The sequence below is a fragment of the Homo sapiens genome, chromosome 5, assembly GCF_000001405.40.
Source record: "Homo sapiens chromosome 5, GRCh38.p14 Primary Assembly".
Classification (NCBI taxonomy): domain Eukaryota; kingdom Metazoa; phylum Chordata; class Mammalia; order Primates; family Hominidae; genus Homo; species Homo sapiens.
In genome coordinates, this window is record NC_000005.10 from 42,459,108 (window position 1) to 42,477,654 (window position 18,547).

The 18,547-nt window shown below is 40.1% G+C and overlaps 1 protein-coding gene and 2 pseudogenes across 5 annotated transcripts in view; 1 reads left to right on the plus strand and 2 right to left on the minus strand.

The window, feature by feature from the left end:
- The window catches only part of GHR (growth hormone receptor), a 298,440-nt gene that overhangs the window by 35,669 nt on the left and 244,224 nt on the right, over positions 1-18,547 (plus strand). The gene's annotated exons all lie outside the window — the stretch shown is intronic.
- Positions 6,208-9,845, minus strand: SERBP1P6 (SERPINE1 mRNA binding protein 1 pseudogene 6; annotated as a pseudogene).
- Positions 7,584-9,415, minus strand: LOC100419545 (zinc finger protein 35 pseudogene; annotated as a pseudogene).

Consider the following 18,547-nt stretch of genomic DNA (forward strand, 5'->3'; position numbering starts at 1 on the left):
AGAACTCAAAGTAGAATTACCATTAGACCCAATAATCCCATTATTGGATATAAACCCAAAGGAATATAAATCGTTTTACCATAAAGACACATGCATATGTATTTTCACTGTGGCACTATAACAGAGACACAATAACAAAGACATGGAACCAAACTAAATGTCCTTCAATAGTAGACTGGATAAAGAAAATGTGATACATATATACCATGGAATACCATGCAGCCATAAAAAGAAATGAGATCATGTCCTTTGCAGCAACATGGATGAAGCTGGAGGCCATTATCCTAAGTGGACTAACACAGGAACAGAAAACCAAATACCACATGTTCTCATTTATAAGTGGAAGCTAAACATTGGGTACATATGAACACAAAGAAGAGAGCAACAGACAGTGGGGCCTACTTGTGGGTAGAGGGAGGGAAGAGGATGAGGATTAACAAACTACCTATCAGATACTATGCTTATTACCTGAGTGGCAAAATAATCTGTACACCAAACCCCTCTGACATGCCATTTACCTATGTAACAAACCTGCATAGTACCCCCGAACTTAAAAGTTAAAAGAAAAAAAAATGATTAATGAGCGTGATACCAGAACAATATTATGATGCAGGGCTATTTTTTGTGTGTTTGCTAGCTGGGCTTGAGATTTGATAAATAAGTCCCATTGTCCTAATCCGCTAGTGATGATGTTCTAGCCTTTGAAATTCAAACTACTACTACTCCACTTTGAGAGAGACTGCATGAGAATTGGACCCAGCCTGGGGCTTTAGACACCATGGTTCAAATCTTGGCTCTTATCATTTTTTAGCCACGTGTCATGGACTCAATGTTTTTGTCTCCCAGCTCCCCAGATTCACAGGTTGAAGCCCTAACCTCCAATGTGGCTGAATTTGAGATTAGGGCCTGTGAGGAGCTGGTAAAAGTTAAATGAATTCTTAAGGATAGGTCTCCAATCCTATAGAGTTGGTGCTCTTACAAGAAGAGGAACAGACACCCGAGTTCTCTCTCTTTGCTATATGAGGACATGGTGAGGAGTGGCCATCTGCAAGCTCAGAAGAGAGCCCTCACCAGGAACTTAAGTGTCTGGCACCTTGATCGTGGACTTCCCGACCTCCAGAACTGTGAGAAATAATTTTTTGTTGTTTAAATCACCCAAACTGTAGTATTTTGTTGTGGCAGCCCAAGCCAATTATTATACCATGTAAGCAGGTTACTTAAATTTACTAAATATGTAAGTTACTTAAAATTTCAAATCCTGGTTCTAACTTTACTAGCTATCACTTTTACTAGCTAACACATTACATTTTCTTCAACTTGCCGCATGCTTTTGCTGTGAGTTTTAAATGAAATTGCTTAAGTACTTTGCTTATCATACTGCTGATCCATAGTAAGCACTTAAAGTTAGTTTCCAGGAAGTTTGGAATGGATCTCACTTATGCAAATGGTTGACTTTGACGGTGCTTGTTCCTCTCTGGAAAGGGTTCACCTCCCATTAGAATAGTCCTGTGACTGCAGTAATTTTGTATGTTAAACTTACATGTATATCTGCAGAATGTTAAATCTGCAAACACCATCCATCAACCCAAAAGCAAAAAAAGAGTGTTTCCTAATAGTTAATAGTTGGTAGCTTAATAGGAAATCTAGAAAAAAAATGTTTAATAATGAAGGCTATATTAATACCAAGTCTCATTTGAGTTCCTGTCAGTAAGGAAATAGTTATCTTTCGTTGTTAATCAATGAAGACCAGTTGCCATAATTAGGGCTCTGGTGTGTTTTCTTCACATGGTCTTCTAGGACCTAATGTAATATCATTTGAGAGGCTCAAAGAGGATCCCATATTCCCAAAGGTATCTTAGAGTCCTTAGCTGCCCAACATCCCACCATTAATCATGCTTTGCAGATGAAAAATTGAAGACTCCTTGTCTCTGAATATCTGGGATATGCTTTCATTCCTAGGATGGACATTTTTCTTCTTCCCCAATAAGGAAGAAAAAGGGACAGAGGTGATTTATAAGAGCAGTTCTACTGAGTGAAATGTGGGTCCTAGCAAAGGAGGACACAGCTGCCCCTTGTAATAGTGGAGGGAAGGAAGGAGGCAGGCTGGCTGTACTTTGCCCTCCTCAACCCTAAACCCTATCTGTTTACCACAGTGGACCTTTTTTCTGAACTCTAACCTCATTATTTCATTCATTATCCACGTAATATTCATTAATGTTCTCCAAGGCTCTTAGAATAAATCTTTAACATTTCCCCAAAAAGTCACAAGGTCTGACACCTGCCTTCCTTTTTCCAGCTTCCTATCATAATCCTCCTTTTTGGCAGTGGCCACACTGATCTTCTTTCAGGTTCCCAAGCTCAGCATTTGCTTTTCATTGGGAGCCCCTTACATCATGACTGTCAGCCTGATTGTCATTTCTTTGGGGAGGCCTTCCCTGAACCCTGGAACTGGATCATATACCCCTATCATGTGCTTTCATAGCACCATGAATGTCTCCTTGGTGGCAGTCCCCAGTAGGAGAATTCTGTGTTTATCTGTATGGCTGTTTCATAAATGTTTATCTTCCTCCCAATAGTCTGTCAGCACTTTGGCAGCCAGTTGTGTTTTGCTGTTGATTCTACCTCCAGCACAGAATGTCTCTTAGTATTTATGGAAGGGGACATGAAAAAAGAAAAAGTCCACTGCATGAAGATTTAATCCAGCGACACTGAGGCCTGAACATCTAGCTTTAGGGAAGCCAGCTTCTAGCAGGACAGACTGGTAGGGACTAGGTAAGGAGAATGGAAAAACACAGGGAATGAGCATCACTTTCTTTAAGACTTTGCCTCTGGCAGACCCCTCCAAGTAACAGATTCCAAAGAGATTGTGAATGTTCTCCCTCTGGTATGCAGTCTCCTGTCCTGTCAGAAACATGGTACCCAGAGGCCAAAGCTGCTGCATAAGCAAGTTATCATGAAACTATTCCAGGACAGGTTTCAGAAGCAGGGTCTTAAAAATGAGTATTAAATCTAATGTTCACCCAGATACATTTCCAACCCACATATAGACACCGAATTTAACGATGAAAGTGGAAGTTACTCTGTTGAGGATTTATTTGAAATGTTGGTTTTCTCTTGTCCATCTGATACAGGTCATAGCTCTGTTTCTGTCATTAGATTGATTTTCATGTTTCTCAGCACAGACTCTCTGTGAGTCAGAGATAAGTTTAATTTTTCAGCATGGCCATAGGAATGATGAAGTCATTCCTCATTAAAATGAAGCTAAGCAAAATTTAATAGTACTTGTTTAAGATTCCTTATTTACTTTTCTACACAAAAAGAGTTGCAAGGGGAAAACAAAAACTTTAGCTTTGAGTAATTTCCTTAATTCAAATATAGATTTAAACCACTTTGTCATAATATGTAAATGAACTATTGCTTTTTTCACCACAGGTCTGTTTTCAAATAGATAATGAGATTATATAAATAATTACCTTATATAAACATAAGGTTACTCATTATTGAAAGCAATTTTCTTTTTTTGTTTCTGGTTTATTATGGTTAAGAGTGAGCCTTTGTTTTAGATATTTGAAAACAAAATGTGTGTGTGCGTGTGCTTTTGTGTGTGTGTGTGGATATGTGTATCTAGGGAGGTCCTCAAATTCAAAAATTATAATACAAGGTTGTAATGTCAGCACTTCCTATTGCATAGTTTTATAATGGGGATATATAGCTATGCATTAAAATGCATTATTGAAATGGAAAATCAGGATGTGTTAAAAATGAATTAGTAATTATATTAAGATCTGAATGGGAACTAGCATACAATGTAACTTAAGCTTTTGAAAAATAAAAAAAAACAGAAAATAATTAATGATAAGTTAGTTTCAGTATTACATTGATAAATATTTCCAGAATAAGCTATAAAAAATAAGGAGGTAGATTTATTATTTTAAGGTTCATACTAAAAGATTGTAATATTTACTTAACCTTTCTTTATTTAATTTAGAATAAGATTACTGTCATCTCTCTAAGCATCTATGTAATAGTGTTTTATTTACTTTTCCATTAAATATTACTGAGATAAATAAGGAGTCCTGGTGAATGAAATATAATTTAATAAGCAGAGTTTTCTTAGGTGAAAACTAATCATGTCCTGCTATAAATGTATATTGAGAGAGAAGCTGAATAGACAAGCTCCATGATTTAGTCAATGATACGACTTCAGGGAAAATGTTTTTATGCCTTGTTGGCCATATCTTTTAATACTTGCATTGAAAATAAAATTACATCCCAAGATTATGAGGGTTGTGAAATTTTATAATTAGATATTTAAGTCCTGAATTGATTAGCAGCAGTATAAACATAGACATGGATTTTGGGTTAAATCTGAGAACTATTTTTTTGTACTAAAATTTGCGTGCAGATGACAATGGGAAAATCAAATGTTTTCCTGGAAAATTTTCAAATGGGACAAATAGTCATCTTTCTGGAAATATGAAATAAAGGGAGTGGTAGTGGTTGGACTATAAACCTCTTTGAAGGCCTTTTAATCTTTAGCTGTAATTCATGTTTTATCACCATTGGATTTTCAAAACGGAAAATACCTTAGAAATAATTTAGTGGGCCGGGCGCGGTGGCTCACGCCTGTAATCCCAGCACTTTGGGAGGCCGAGGCGGGTGGATCACGAGGTCAGGAGATCGAGACCATCCCGGCTAAAACGGTGAAACCCCGTCTCTACTAAAAATACAAAAAATTAGCCGGGCGTAGTGGTGGGCGCCTGTAGTCCCAGCTACTTGGGAGGCTGAGGCAGGAGAATGGCGTGAACCCGAGAGGCGGAGCTTGCAGTGAGCCGAGATCCCGCCACTGCACTCCAGCCTGGGCGACAGAGCGAGACTCCGTCTCAAAAAAAAAAAAAAAAAAAAAAAAGAAAAAGAAATAATTTAGTGTTACCTTGTTGATATTACCAAAAAAAAAAAAAAAGTGCTCAGAGTCACATAACTTGATTCAGTCAGAGCTGGTACTAGATGCTCAGTCTTCTGACTTCTAATTTAGTTTGCTTTCATTATCTACTTACTACCTGCTGCTGACTCAGAGCTCCTCAGCTATCTGCAAGTGGATGTGTTTATTGAACATTTACGATGTACATGAACTGCTCTCAATGCGAAGCTCCCATGGTGAATGGGAGCTTACTTTCTGACTCAAAAATTAGTTTTCTCTCTTTGTGTTCTAAATGAAAGTGTCCTTTTGCTTTATCTGAAGCAGAAAGTTGTAAGTTTGTTTATTTTACTTTTGAAATTTTGGAGAATTGGCAGTGGGGTCATGCCATCAGAAACACATACATGCAATGCATGGATGCACGGTGTGAATGAGCTCTCTGGAAGATGGTAGATTATGGGAAAGAAGGAAGCTCAGAAAGAGAGTGGACCAAGTCAAGAGGAAAGAGAGAAGAAACAGGCAAGTGTGGAGCAGAGGAAAAGTAGGAGGGTCATGAATCCATTCTGCAGGTGTGTGCTGAGTGACTGGAAGAAGGAAAAGAACCAAGGAAGTCTCTGCCATGTTATCTTAGTTTTGTTAAGGGTATAAAGAGATTGAAGAGAGTTTAACTAGGCCATCTTTAACCCTAGGACATCCCTAGAGTCCCTGGCAGAACTAATAATCTAAATTATGAATGGCTGTGTGTGCACACACACAGGATGCACTTACTAATGTCTATCATTATGAGTATCTTCTGACTTCTCCACTACAAAGAAAGGAAGGGAATGTGACCCTCTTTCCAGGTTAGAAGTAACTAGGGCATAGTAACACAAATGGATGAATTAAACTGTTTAAATGGTGCACTGGAATATATTTATTTTGGGGCAAATCATGAAGAAATAAAAAAGGAAGAGATTCTCTTTTGAGAAAAAGTTTGTTTCCTATTGTCAATTGAGCAACTCTGTGAACATCTTAAAGATAAAGAATGATTATTCTGTAAAGTGCTGGGATTTCTGGTGCTGTGTGACAAAGTCCGGTTCCTTTTGTCTAAGTTAGTTATAATAATCTTTAATGAAAAGCAGAGGGGTCCCATGGTTTGGAACAAGTATCTGAGTCAAGAGTTGACAAGTAGAATAGCTGGGCGCAGAGGCTGCTGTCAAGTTGACAAAGCCAGAACAGTACATTTGGACAGAAAGAATTTGATTTTCTTATACTGAATGTGATGATCTTGAAGAACAGATTTTTTTTTTGCATGAAAATAAATCTTTATTTTCAGTTATTACCCACCAGTAAGAGAAAGTTAGGTTAAGGGTATAAAGGGATTGAAGAGGTTTCTACTTTTGCCCAGTCCTTATTTTGAATAGCCTTCCACTCATCCAAAGTCATCTCTTTTGGACCCTCCTCTTTTACCTCTTCAACTTCATTCTCCTTATTTTCAGTGTCTGCCACTGGATGATGTTCTTCACCTTCAGGTGTTTCCTCAGTCACATTTGATTGATCCAAGTCACTGCAATTATAAGATATTTGTTTCTGAATGTATTTGGGGGACTCTGTTAATTCATCTTTGACAATTCCCCAGTTGTGAGATCTGCTACCTCCACGTTACAGGTCCTCGTGCTTCAGGCCACTGTAATGTGAAAAAAAAGATCTATCACTTCCACTATACCTATCAAATTCACGTTTGCCACGAGAATCAAATCCATCTCCTTGGCCCATTTCACGTCCACTGCCCTCTCGACCTCTTCCAAGACCACCATGACCTTGAATAGGTCGGTCAATAATCAGTCTATCAACTGAAAATTCGCCTCCTTCACCCCTTTCATCAAGTGGCTTTTCAAGTCTTCGTTCACAAGGTGGTCTCCTTTCTGGTCTTCTATCAGTTATTTTCCCTTCACCGTGAAGTTGTTGAGCAGGTCTTCTTCCAACTTGTCTTATTCCTTCTTCTTTTTGTGTTTTTTATTTTTCCTCTAGGCAAGCTTTATTCTTTGATTCCTCTATCCAGGAAGGGGGCTGTTGGTTGCATCTTACCCAAATGGAATGCAATGGGAATTGGGAGCTTGAGTTGTGTGGAGGAGGAGTTGTCAATCTTAACAAATGACTATAGCTGGCGTGTGGTGTCCATCAATCCTTGAGGGCTTGGCCATGCACACTAGGGAATGGTCAGAACAGACTCAACAGAGGTCTCCAGAGCTTTACAATATCTACAATATCAAGGTTCAGGGGGTATAGACAGTAAGGAAAAAGGCCATTTCCTGTTTCTGTCCATTTTTGGTACAGTAGACAGTTAAGGTTTTTTCTTTTGACTAGCTTTTAAAAAATTACTTAGAAAATGGAAAGCTTATAAACATTCATAAGTGAATTGTTGAATTGCTACCCCAAGTGGTTTCCTTACCTAGTCACCACTTAACCAGAAATACTAGAATACACGGTTCAACCAGAATTCAACCAGGCAGATAACCTGCCTATTGCTCAAGCAATCATCAGAGTTTTTAAAAACAAAATTAAGCAAAAAAGACCTTTCCCCAAATACAATCATTACTTTGTATGACCCATTCCTAAGAAAGCTACATTCCATTTCAGAAAACATGACCACTTAAGGTACAGTTAAAACAAAGTCGTTGCCTTCAGGTGCTTACTTTCTGTTTTCTTTAAATTAACTGCTGAAATGTTTATCTTGTGTTTTGTGCTGCATTCCTGAAAACTGTAACTTTTAAGGACATAGGCCTCATCTTTATAAAGGAAGAAGAAAACAGCAAAGAGGTGTCTCATTTGGGAGGCAGAAGGTTATGACCAATGCTGGAAGTCTTCCTCTTCCTTACTTGTTGTTCAACAAGATGGGTTCTGTGGTGTCGCATGAGGTGTGAGTTGGAAATGAAAGCTGCACCACACTTCTTATATTCATAGGGCTTCTCCCCAGTGTGGGTTCTCTGGTGCACCGTGAGGCTCAACCTCTGTCTGAAGGCCTTCCCACACTCATTACACATGTAAGGTTTTTCTCCATTATGGATTCTCTGATGAATAAGTAGGTATGAGCTACATGTGAAGGCCTTCCCACATTCATTACACACAAAAGGAAGATCTCCACTGTGAATTCTCTGGTGGACAAAAAGGCAAGAGAGCTGACTGAAGGCTTGCCCACATTCACTGCAGTCATAAGGTTTCTCTGCAGTGTGAATTATCTGGTACATAATAAGGTGTGAAAAACAACTAAAGGTTTTCCCAAACTCACACTCATATGGCTTCTCACCAGTATGGCTTCGCTGATGTACAATAAGATTTGCAATCTGCGTAAAGGCTTTGCCAGAATCGTTACAGGCAGAGGGCTTCTCCCCAGTGTGGATCCTCTGGTGGACAATATGGTTTGAGCTCCCAGTAAATGTTTTCCGACACTCATTACATTTACAGCATTTTTCTGTAATGTGGAGTTTCTGGTGCCGAGCAAGTTGTGAGCTATAACTAAAGGCTTTCTCACATTTACTACGCCTAAAGGTTTTTTCTAAGGAGAGGTTTTTTTGATATACAGTCAGATTTGAACTCTGATTGAAGGCTTTCCCACATTTTGAGCAAACATAAGGTTTCTGTCCAGTGTGGATTCTCTGATGCACATCGAGCTTTGCACTCTGAATGAAGGCCTTCCCACACTCATGACATTCAAAAGGTTTCTCCCCGGTGTGGATTCTCTGATGCACAACGAGGTTTGCACTCTGACTAAATCCTTTCCCACACATGCTACAATGTAAAAGACTTTCGCCCAAGCTGGGTTTTCGGATTGTTAACAGTGTCAGAATTAAGGCTGTATTTTCCCACAGATTTCTTACATTTCTGGTCTTCCTCTTCTTTGAAGCTTTCAGGTAAGTGACAGTCATTCACTATGACTTATCTGAAATCTTTCCTTTCCCTCCTTATTCTCTGCCTCTTTAACATGTTTTCTTTTTCACAAGCCTCTCTTAACTCAGGTCCTTAAGGATCAGCTTTCTGGATTCTTCCTAATATGATGCGGGGGTTTTCAGCTTCCTCACGTATCTCAGTTTTTGGAACCAGTAACTGAAGGTTCTTGGTTTCAGCACCTTTTCTTCCTCTTCTGATCCATCAAGGCCTGTCTGACGAAACTCCCCTGGGGCCCAGACTTTGATGTTCTCAGAGTGCACTTGTTGGCTGGATGCCTGATCTGGGAAGTTTTCTTCTTCCTCCTCCTCCTTTTTCACCTTCACTGGGCGGCATGGGCCTAGGGCCATGGCTTCTCTCAATTCTGCAGTCATCTTCTCTGCTCAGCAGGGGAACGCCTATAGCTGGGAGCTGCCCAGCACAGGTCAAACCCCATCTAAGCTTTATGTTTCAAAAGCTTCTTCTTGAGTTTCCTCCCAGGGCCAAGATGAGTATTGCCTACGTGCGCAGCTGAGAGGCCCGACCAGAGTTCACTGGCTCTGCAGCAGGAGGCTGGGGGACCAGGACCTCAGCTCCTACTGGCACGAGAACAATGACCCTTATTCCTTCTTTCTTAAGCACCATGGACGGCTGCGTCTCCTCTTTCCTGTCAACCACGCCAACGCTGGAGGGCAGCGGGTTCTTGCTGTCTTTCTGGGACTCCTTGCGCAGCTAGCTATTTGCCTGCCGCCTTGGAGTTGGTCTGGGTCGCAGCCTGAGCTGCCGCTCTTGGCCCCAGAGACGCCGCCCCCGCCAGCTTCTTTTTTCTTGTTCTCTCCTGCCTTCAGCACCTCGAAGGGGTCCGATTAGTTGTCAAATAACTGGTCGAATCGGTTGGTGACCAGGCAGCTGAAGCCTTCCTGTAACTGCCCAGGCATGATGGTTGCTCGGCGGCACATTCCTCCACGGATTGCAGCGGGCTGCGCCGAGCCAAGAGCGCGTGCTTCAGCTCTTCCCAGAAGATCGAAGAACAATTTTTTTGAAATCCGCCTGTAAATGTCAGGCAAGGTAAATTTCAAAATGAATTTTTAAAGTCTCTAAAATGGAGTTATGTTTAATTATGACTTTATGACAAATTAAAAGATAGTTCTAGATAATACTATTGTAGAAAGAAGCTTCTCTTGTTCTGGGAAAGAGAGACAGTTTGGAAACTTGAGACAAGACCCTTATTGTCTGTTTTATTATTTACTGCTAACAAACTGCATTCTCTCACTGTTCACTGGAATAGGTGGGTCCAGGGAACTTAGGAAAGCCTAATGGGAAGTGAGAAAAGTAAATTATTTCTTATATTTTTATGTATACAAATAGTTGATAAAGGAGGAAGTGTAGTGGTGGGGTGGATCATGCAGATTGGGATACAAGAGACAGTATAATTATTCACAATTATAGATAAGGAGATCTAGGCTTCACATTTTCACTTCTGGAATATTCCACTTTGACAGAACAGTCTACTGTCTGCCTCAGCCTATCCTGGAGATGTCCTTGTGGTGGGAGAGGACCTGCTTTCTCCTTGCTGTGCTCCTACAGTTTGTCTCTGCCAGTCATGTCCAAGCCCCTTGTCTTAGTGCCTCACAAGACCTCTTCCTCTGACCAGGATTCAGGCACCTTCTCAGAACCTTCATTCCCCTGACAGCAGGACCAGCCAGTCTCCCAGACCCGGGGTAGTGCGAAGAGGAGAGCAGACTCCTTAGACCCAGAGTCCCAGGACACTTGGCCTCAATTCCCGTGACACCTATATCACCCAGACAACTGGGAAATGGAGGTGCTGGTGCCAGAACAAAAGCATAAGCTGTGTTTCTCAAGTTTGGACTTTACCTGGGCTGTTGCTTTATTTTCTAGCTGTTTACTGATTTTTAGAAGCATAAAGGTTTCTTTCTGTGAAGTTCCTAGGGACACTTAACGGAGTGGGGACAGGTATTCCTTTTGTCTTTCAGAAAGGCATGTTAAGAGTTAGTCTCACAGTAATTTAAGTCTCACCTCCTAAATGGGGTAAGAGTGGGGAGAAATATATGTGTGTATATTTGTGTGTGTATATAAATAATATATATATACTACTAATATAATTAATAATGTGTGTATAAATAATATGTAAATAACATATTATATTATATGTCAATAATAAAATATTATATTAATATATGTTATTACATTAATATACTATATATTATAATATATAAGATATAATTATATATTATATACTATTATATTATATCTATAACATAATATATTATATATTTATATATCATTATATAATGTATTACATGTATTAATATATATTATCTATATAGTAAATATATGGGGTGTGTATTTGTGTATACACACACACACGCACATATATATCCTGCATTGTTTGCTTAGAATCATGCTTTGCAATTATTAACTGCTTTTTCTTCCTTCCCTTCATCTAATACACCTGAAGAATATTTCAGTTAGCCAAAGGTGAGAATCCGAATTCATATTTGTATTCCCAATAGATTTCCCGCAGAATCTTGGGTTATCATTTCATCAATAACAGTTATGCAGATGTTCTATTGCTGTGTCCAATGCTTGCTTCGTTCATATGAAATTTGACTTTTGGCCATTCAAAAAGCAATCAGTGCCTTCTTGTTGATTAGCACTAATCACCACAAGATCCTTCCAATAGTAAATTTTCCAGAGCAAAATTCTAAACTTACAGATTAGTTTGCCGCAGCCCCTAGCCCTACACTGTAAGGATCTTGCTTTCCATGAGGTCCATTGTTAAATGGAAATGTTCCCCTGGCTCTATGCAGTGCTCAGGTGTTTCTTACTCAGCTGAAGGACTAATGAATTTAGTTTGAATCTAAATTTGGAGTAAAAAATGCCACTCAGGAGAGCTGCTTCTGTGACTGCATTGCCTTCCAACCTGCTTTTCCATTTTTCCTTATTACTCCATGTCCTTGAGGAGTTTATTCCTTTATAGCTTTTGTGATCTGGCTGTAATTATTTTGAAAAAAATTTTCATTATACTGGACATTTTGGATTAAGTCCTCCAAATTTTCTTATTTGTGAGAGTACAAGTCACTATTTACACTATGGTAAACTGCATGCAAACATCTGAGTACCTTTCTGTTCCTGTCTTCAGCTGGGCCAGCACTAAGCTGGAATAGCCTATACTTTGATGTTTTTCTGAGGAAGTACATTTTCCTTTTCCCTCAGATTCCTGGTGCCTGGTATAGCACTTTTTTGATTTGCTCTTGTTCTGGCAATAGGTCAACTGGCTTTCATGGTCCTTAACGTTTCAGGTAAATAATTCCAACAGTTGTGACTGGAAGGAATTCAAATCAACTCAAGGCATCCACTCTATGTTCAAAATGCCATGTTTTGAGTGATTTGTCCTTTGGTTAGTAACTTTAAAAAATATGAGGACTGGAAGGAGAAGCTACTATTTGAGGAACTAATGGAAAATCAAGCAGTTTTTGATGTACTAACATATACACTTATGATGCAAGGAGTGTGATCGTTGACCTTCCTACTTATCTAAACATTATGCTCTCAGAGCATGTGGATAGGTAGCATAGCCTAGTGGTTAACACACATAGAAAAGTCAGACTGCCTAGTTCGAATCCCAGCTTCATCACTTGCTAGCTATATAATCTTTATTAAATTAGTTAACTTTCCTGTGCCTCAGTCTGGTTTTCCTGAGGATTAAATGATTTTATATTTGTTAAGTGCCTAGAACTGTAGCTGGTCTGCAACAAGTACTATACGTCTTTGTTTAAATAATAAATAAAATGACAGTATTGTTCATATGGAGAAACAGGGGTCTTAGGCAGCTTAGGAGTTTTTCTAAAGTAACAGAATCATTTAATGGCAGGAACAACAATATTATCACTGCCCAGAACCCTAATGGAGAACTATAGCTCTTAAGGGTGATGTGGGGAGAAATACACTGATGAAAAACAATCAACATTATTAAAGACAGGATGGGAGAGAGTGGGAACTCGTCATTCATTTATCTAATGGCTTAGTCAGCAAGTAACTAATGCCTACTTTGGGCCTTGACACTATACCAACATTGTGCAGAAAGTGATTAAAATGCAAAAGAACATTCACTTAGGCTGGGATAAACAAGAGGTCTTTTGCAAAATCTGATGATGAGCTTGTTGATGTTGAGTTGACAAACTATGCAGCAGGTCAGTGGGGGGGTGATTATCATAAAATTCCATCCCTTAAACATCTACAGGAAGATGATTATTTTAAGATGCTTTACTTCTGGAGATGTATGCTTTACTTCTACTTAGAGAATCTGGCTTATGTTCTCATGTTCTGGTTTTATATGTAATTGGTCATGAGCTTAATTTGAGCCAAGCATTTGACACAGTTGCCCCCAGAAGTTAACTCATTTGTGGATTGTATAAATGCTATTGCACAAAAAAGAAGTATATATATACAAATAGTCATAGTAGACCACATCTCAGTTAATGGCTTCAAGTCTAGATGAAATGTTTTAAGAGGGATATTGACAAATTAGAGAACATTAGAAGCATTTGCCAGAATACTGGCAGGGCAAGAAATTATGCCAAATAGTAGAAAGAGAATTAGATGCCTAAGTGGAACATGGTGTATAGCCCATAAGAATTTGAAGGATTGTCACTGGTAGAATAAGATGTTATTCTTGGCTGCTTCCAGCTGAGGAGTGGTGGATGGGTGACTAAGGCCTATAAGAGAGCAAATATAAGGAAGAGTTTCTAGATATTAAAATCAATTTCCAAAGAAACAGCCTGGCCTCTAAGGGAAAGAGCTTCTTGTGAGTAGATGTGTTTAGGTGGGGCCAGATGAACAAGCTCCTGAGCTCTAGGGATTAGACTCCTTCTGCTGGATAGGAGGTACAACCAGGTCATCCCAGAGGTTCCTTGTGTTCCAAGATTCTGTTACTCTATGATTTCATGACTTGGATGTCACCTCCCTTAGGTTGGTTACTCTAAATAATGTTAAAAGTCAGTGTATGCCTTAAGATTGGGTGAATTGCTATGACAGAATGAGATTTACCAGAGAAGCAGTTAAGTCTAAGAATGAAACTACTGTTTCTAAGTGAAAGAGGTATGAATAACCTAAAGATAATATTTTTCTCTGTAGATAGAAAGAATTTGTATTATAAGTCTGTGTTGGGTGTATAGTAGGGCATCACCAGAATTCACCCTAACTGGGTGAATTCATGGCAGTGATCAGTAGAATATGTAGTTTAACAATGAGGCCTTATCATTTCTAAGTAGTTTCTTTTTGAGACGGAGTCTCACCCTGTCAACCAGAGCTTTGCCCTGGAACTCTTGGAGTGCAACGGCGCGATCTCGGGTCCCTGCAACCTCCGCCTCCCAGGTTCAAACAATTCTCTTGACTCAGCCTCCCGATTTCTAAGTGGAGAGTTATGAATGGCCCAAAGATAATATTTTTCTCTATAGATAGAAATAATTTGTATGCTAGGTATGTGTTGGATATATAGCAGGACATTACCAGAATTCAGCCTAACTCGGTGAATTCATGGCAGTGAACACTGCAATATGTGGTTTAATAATGAGGCCTTATTCTTAAGGCAAAGCTCAGAAAAGCTGATAAGCAAATTAGAAAGGTCTATTGAAAAGTGTCTGTTGGCCGGGCGCAGTGGATCACGCCTGTAATCCCAGCACTTTGGGAGGCTGAGGCGGGTGGATCATGAGGTCAAGAGATTGAGACCATCCTGGCCAACATGGTGAAACCCCGTCTCTACTACAAATACAAAAATTAGCTGGGCATGGTGGCATGCGCCTGTAGTCCCAGCTACTCGGGAGGCTGAGGCAGGAGAATCGCTTGAACCATGGATGCAGAGGTTGCAATGAGCTGAGATTGTGCCACTGCACTCCAGCCTGGTGACAGCAAGACTTTGTCTCAAAAAAAAAAAAAAAAAGAAAAGTGTCTGTCTAGCCAGGCGTGGTGGTTCATGCCTGTAATCCTAGCACTTTGGGAGGCCAAGGTGAGTGGATCACTTGAGGTCAGGAGTTCAAAACCAGCTTGGCCAACATGGCGAAACCTTATCTCTACTAAAAACACAAAAAATTAACAGGATGTGGTGGTGCACACCTATAATCCCAGCTACTTGGGAGGCTGAGGTAGAAGAATCGCTTGAACCGAGGAGGCAGAGGTAGTAGTGAGCCAAGATTGTGCCACAGCACTCCAACCTGAGCAACAGAACAAGACTCAGTCTCTGAAAGAGAGAGAGAGATGAAAGAGAGAGAGAGAGAAAGAAAAAGAAAGAAAGAGAGAGAAAGACAGACAGAAAGAAAGAAAGAAAGAAAGAAAGAAAAAGAGAAAGAGAAAGAAAGAAAGAAAGAAAGAAAGAAAGAAAGAAAGAAAGAAAAGAAATAAAGAAAGAAAGCAAAGTGTCTGTCTGCCAACCTGCTTCCACAAAGGCCCCTCTTCTGATTGTAGAAGTGCCTGGTTTAGGATGGCAGTGTGCTCTACCTGCTGTCTGGTGAGTAGTCAGGATTGGACTTCTATAAGACACCCTCTGAGAGGCTTGCAAATACCTTCAGAATCAGGCAGAGGTCTTTGGCCAGTTATTTCTGAATAAAGCATATCTGCGTGTCTGTCTGACCTAAGCCTGGGAACCACGATGGAAGATACTGTTTGAACAACAACAACAACAAAAAAAGGCAGGGAACTTAAGAGAGAAATGGATTTTAGTCACTAAGAACACGAAGAGGAACATTTTGATAATATGTACTCTATACAAACAGAATGCTTATACAAGACAATCAAAGAGGAATGGGTAGTTTTCTAAAGAGTAAAACCTGTATTTTTAGGAACATATATTTGTTTACAATATATTTTTTCTTTTTTCACCCTTGATTTTTAACTATTTAATAATTTTCTACAACATTTTTTTCTTTTTTTTTTTTTGCCCTTTTTTTTTTTTTTTTAAACAGAGTCTCGCTCTGTTGCCCAGGCTGGAGTGCAATGGTGCTATCTTGGCTCATTGCAACTTCCGCCTCCTGGGTTTAAGTGATTCTCCTGCCTCAGCCTCCCGAGTAGCTTGGATTATAGGCACCTGCCACCACACCTGGCTAATTTTTGTATTTGTAGTAGTGACGGGGTTTCACCACGTTGGCCAGGCTTGTCTGGAACTCCTGACCTCAAGGCCCACCTTAGCCTCCCAAAGTGCTGGGATTACAGGTGTGAGCCACCGCGCCCAGCCTGCCCTTGATTTTTAACTATCCCTCCTGTGAAAATTTAAGTCTTTCTGTGGGTTAAAGGGAACTGGTAAAGAGCACTGGATTTATGCTTGGGCTGGAATTTCCCTCTAGGTTTGGATGTAATGAAGGCAGTAGAGATTTGGGTTTATAACAGAGGCAGATTTGTGAAACTATAGGAGTTGAAGCCTGAGGGTCCCTCACTTGCAGAGACCCCTTCCAGGGTCCTGGAAGGAACCCTGCTAATGTGTTATTATGGTCATTTTTTTTATAAAAATTGCAAAACATAATGTGTTTCAGCCATGACTGGTTAAGATCATTGTCTTCTTCCAATTCAACTTTCCCTCCTTTCTCCTTCCCTTTCTAGTTGGGTGGCATTAAAGTGGTCATGCGCATTTTGTATTTGTAATTATGTATTTTTTTTTTTTCTTAAAAAGGACCCCCCCACCAAATTGTATAAGTTTCAGGCCCTAAAAACATGGATCTTCCACTGGGTGTAGGAATGGAATGAGTAACAATTTGGAAATTGCCTGTGTAGCAGAATCAGCGAAAAGTCAGAGTCAGCAGTCAAAATGTGATGGGGAGAGTGAGAGTAAATTGGAATCCATAATCCCAACAGCATTTGACAGTGGGAAAATGGAGCTTTTTCCCCCCTCTTTAGGGTTCATTTTAAAGAATTCCATGCAAAGGATATCATGAATTGAGAAATATACATCAGATTCATCAGATTAAAAATTTTTTTTTTTTTTTTGAGACGGAGTCTCGCTCTGTCACCAGGCTGGAGTGCAGTGGCGGGATCTCGGCTCACTGCAAGCTCCGCCTCCCAGGCTCACGCCATTCTCCTGCCTCAGCCTCCCGAGTAGCTGGAACTACAGGCGCCAACCACCATGCCCGGCTAATTTTTTGTATTTTTAATAGAGACGCGGTTTCACCGTGTTAGCCAGGATGGTCTGATCTCCTGACCTCGTGATTTGCCCGCCTCAGCCTCCCAAAGTGCTGGGATTACAGGCGTGAGCCACCGCGCCCGGCTTTTTGTTGTGTTTTTTGTTTTTGTTTTTGTTTTTTTGAGATGGAGCCCTGCTCTGTCGCCCAGGCTGGAGTGCAGTGGCACAATCTCGGCTCACTGCAACCTCCGCTCCCAGGTTCAAGTGATTCCCCTGCCTCAGCCTCCCGAGTAGCTGGGATTACAGGCACGCGCCACCATGCCCGGCTAAATTTTTTGTTTTTTAGTAGAGACAGGGTTTCACCATTTTGGCCAGGATGATCTCCATCTCCTGACCTCGTGATGTGCCTGCCTTGGCCTTCCAAAGTGCTGGGATTACAGGCGTGAGCCACTGCACCTGGCCTAAATTCTTTTTAAAAATAGCAAATTCTTAAAAATAATGCAAATTGATGATGAATTATGAAAATCATGATGAGAAACTCCTGACTGAAGAGAGAAATTGTTGGAAAATGATTCTCCTTTTCCTCTACTACTTTATGTAATTATAAAGCCTTTTTCTAAAGTTCCTTTCTGACACAGAAATACTGGCCAACAGAAATTCAAAGGAAAGTTGAGACTTTTGAAGTTCAGGCAATTTATATGGTGTTTCAGGTGTTACTACCTCTAATAGTCTATCAGTAAAACCCTGATAGGGGATGGTCTCTCCTTTTTGCCTTCTACTCCATCTCTTCTCACACACACTTGTGATTCTTTTTCTTTTTTTAAAAAATTTTATTATTATAATACTTTAAGTTTTAGTGTACATGTGCACAACGTGCAGGTTTGTTACATATGTATACATGTGCCATGTTGGTGTGCTGCACCCATTAACTCGTCATTTAGCGTTAGGTGTATCTCCTAATGCTATCCCTCCCCCCTCCCCCCACCCCACAACAGTCCCCAGTGTGTGATGTTCCCCTTCCTGTGTCCATGTGTTCTCATTGTTCAATTCCCACCTATGAGTGAGAACATGCGGTGTTTGGTTTTTTTTCCTTGCGATACTTTGCTGAGAATGATGGTTTCCAGTTTCATCCATGTCCCTACAAAGGACATGAACTCATCATTTTTATGGCTGCATAGTATTCCATGGTGTATATGTGCCACATTTGCTTAATCCAGTCTATCATTGTTGGACATTTGGGTTGGTTCCAAGTCTTTGCTATTGCGAATAGTGCCACAATAAACATACGTGTGCATGTGTCTTTATAGCAGCATGATTTATAATCCTTTGGGTATATACCCCAGTAATGGGATGGCAGGTTCAAATGGTATTTTTAGTTCTAGATCCCTGAGGAATCGCCACACTGACTTCCACAGTGGTTGAACTAGTTTACAGTCCCACCAACAGTGTAAAAGTGTTCCTATTTCTCCACATCCTCTCCAGCACCTGTTGTTTCCTGACTTTTTAATGATCGCCATTCCAACTGGTGTGAGATGGTATCTCATAGTGGTTTTGATTTGCATTTCTCTGATGGCCAGTGATGATGAGCATTTTTTCAT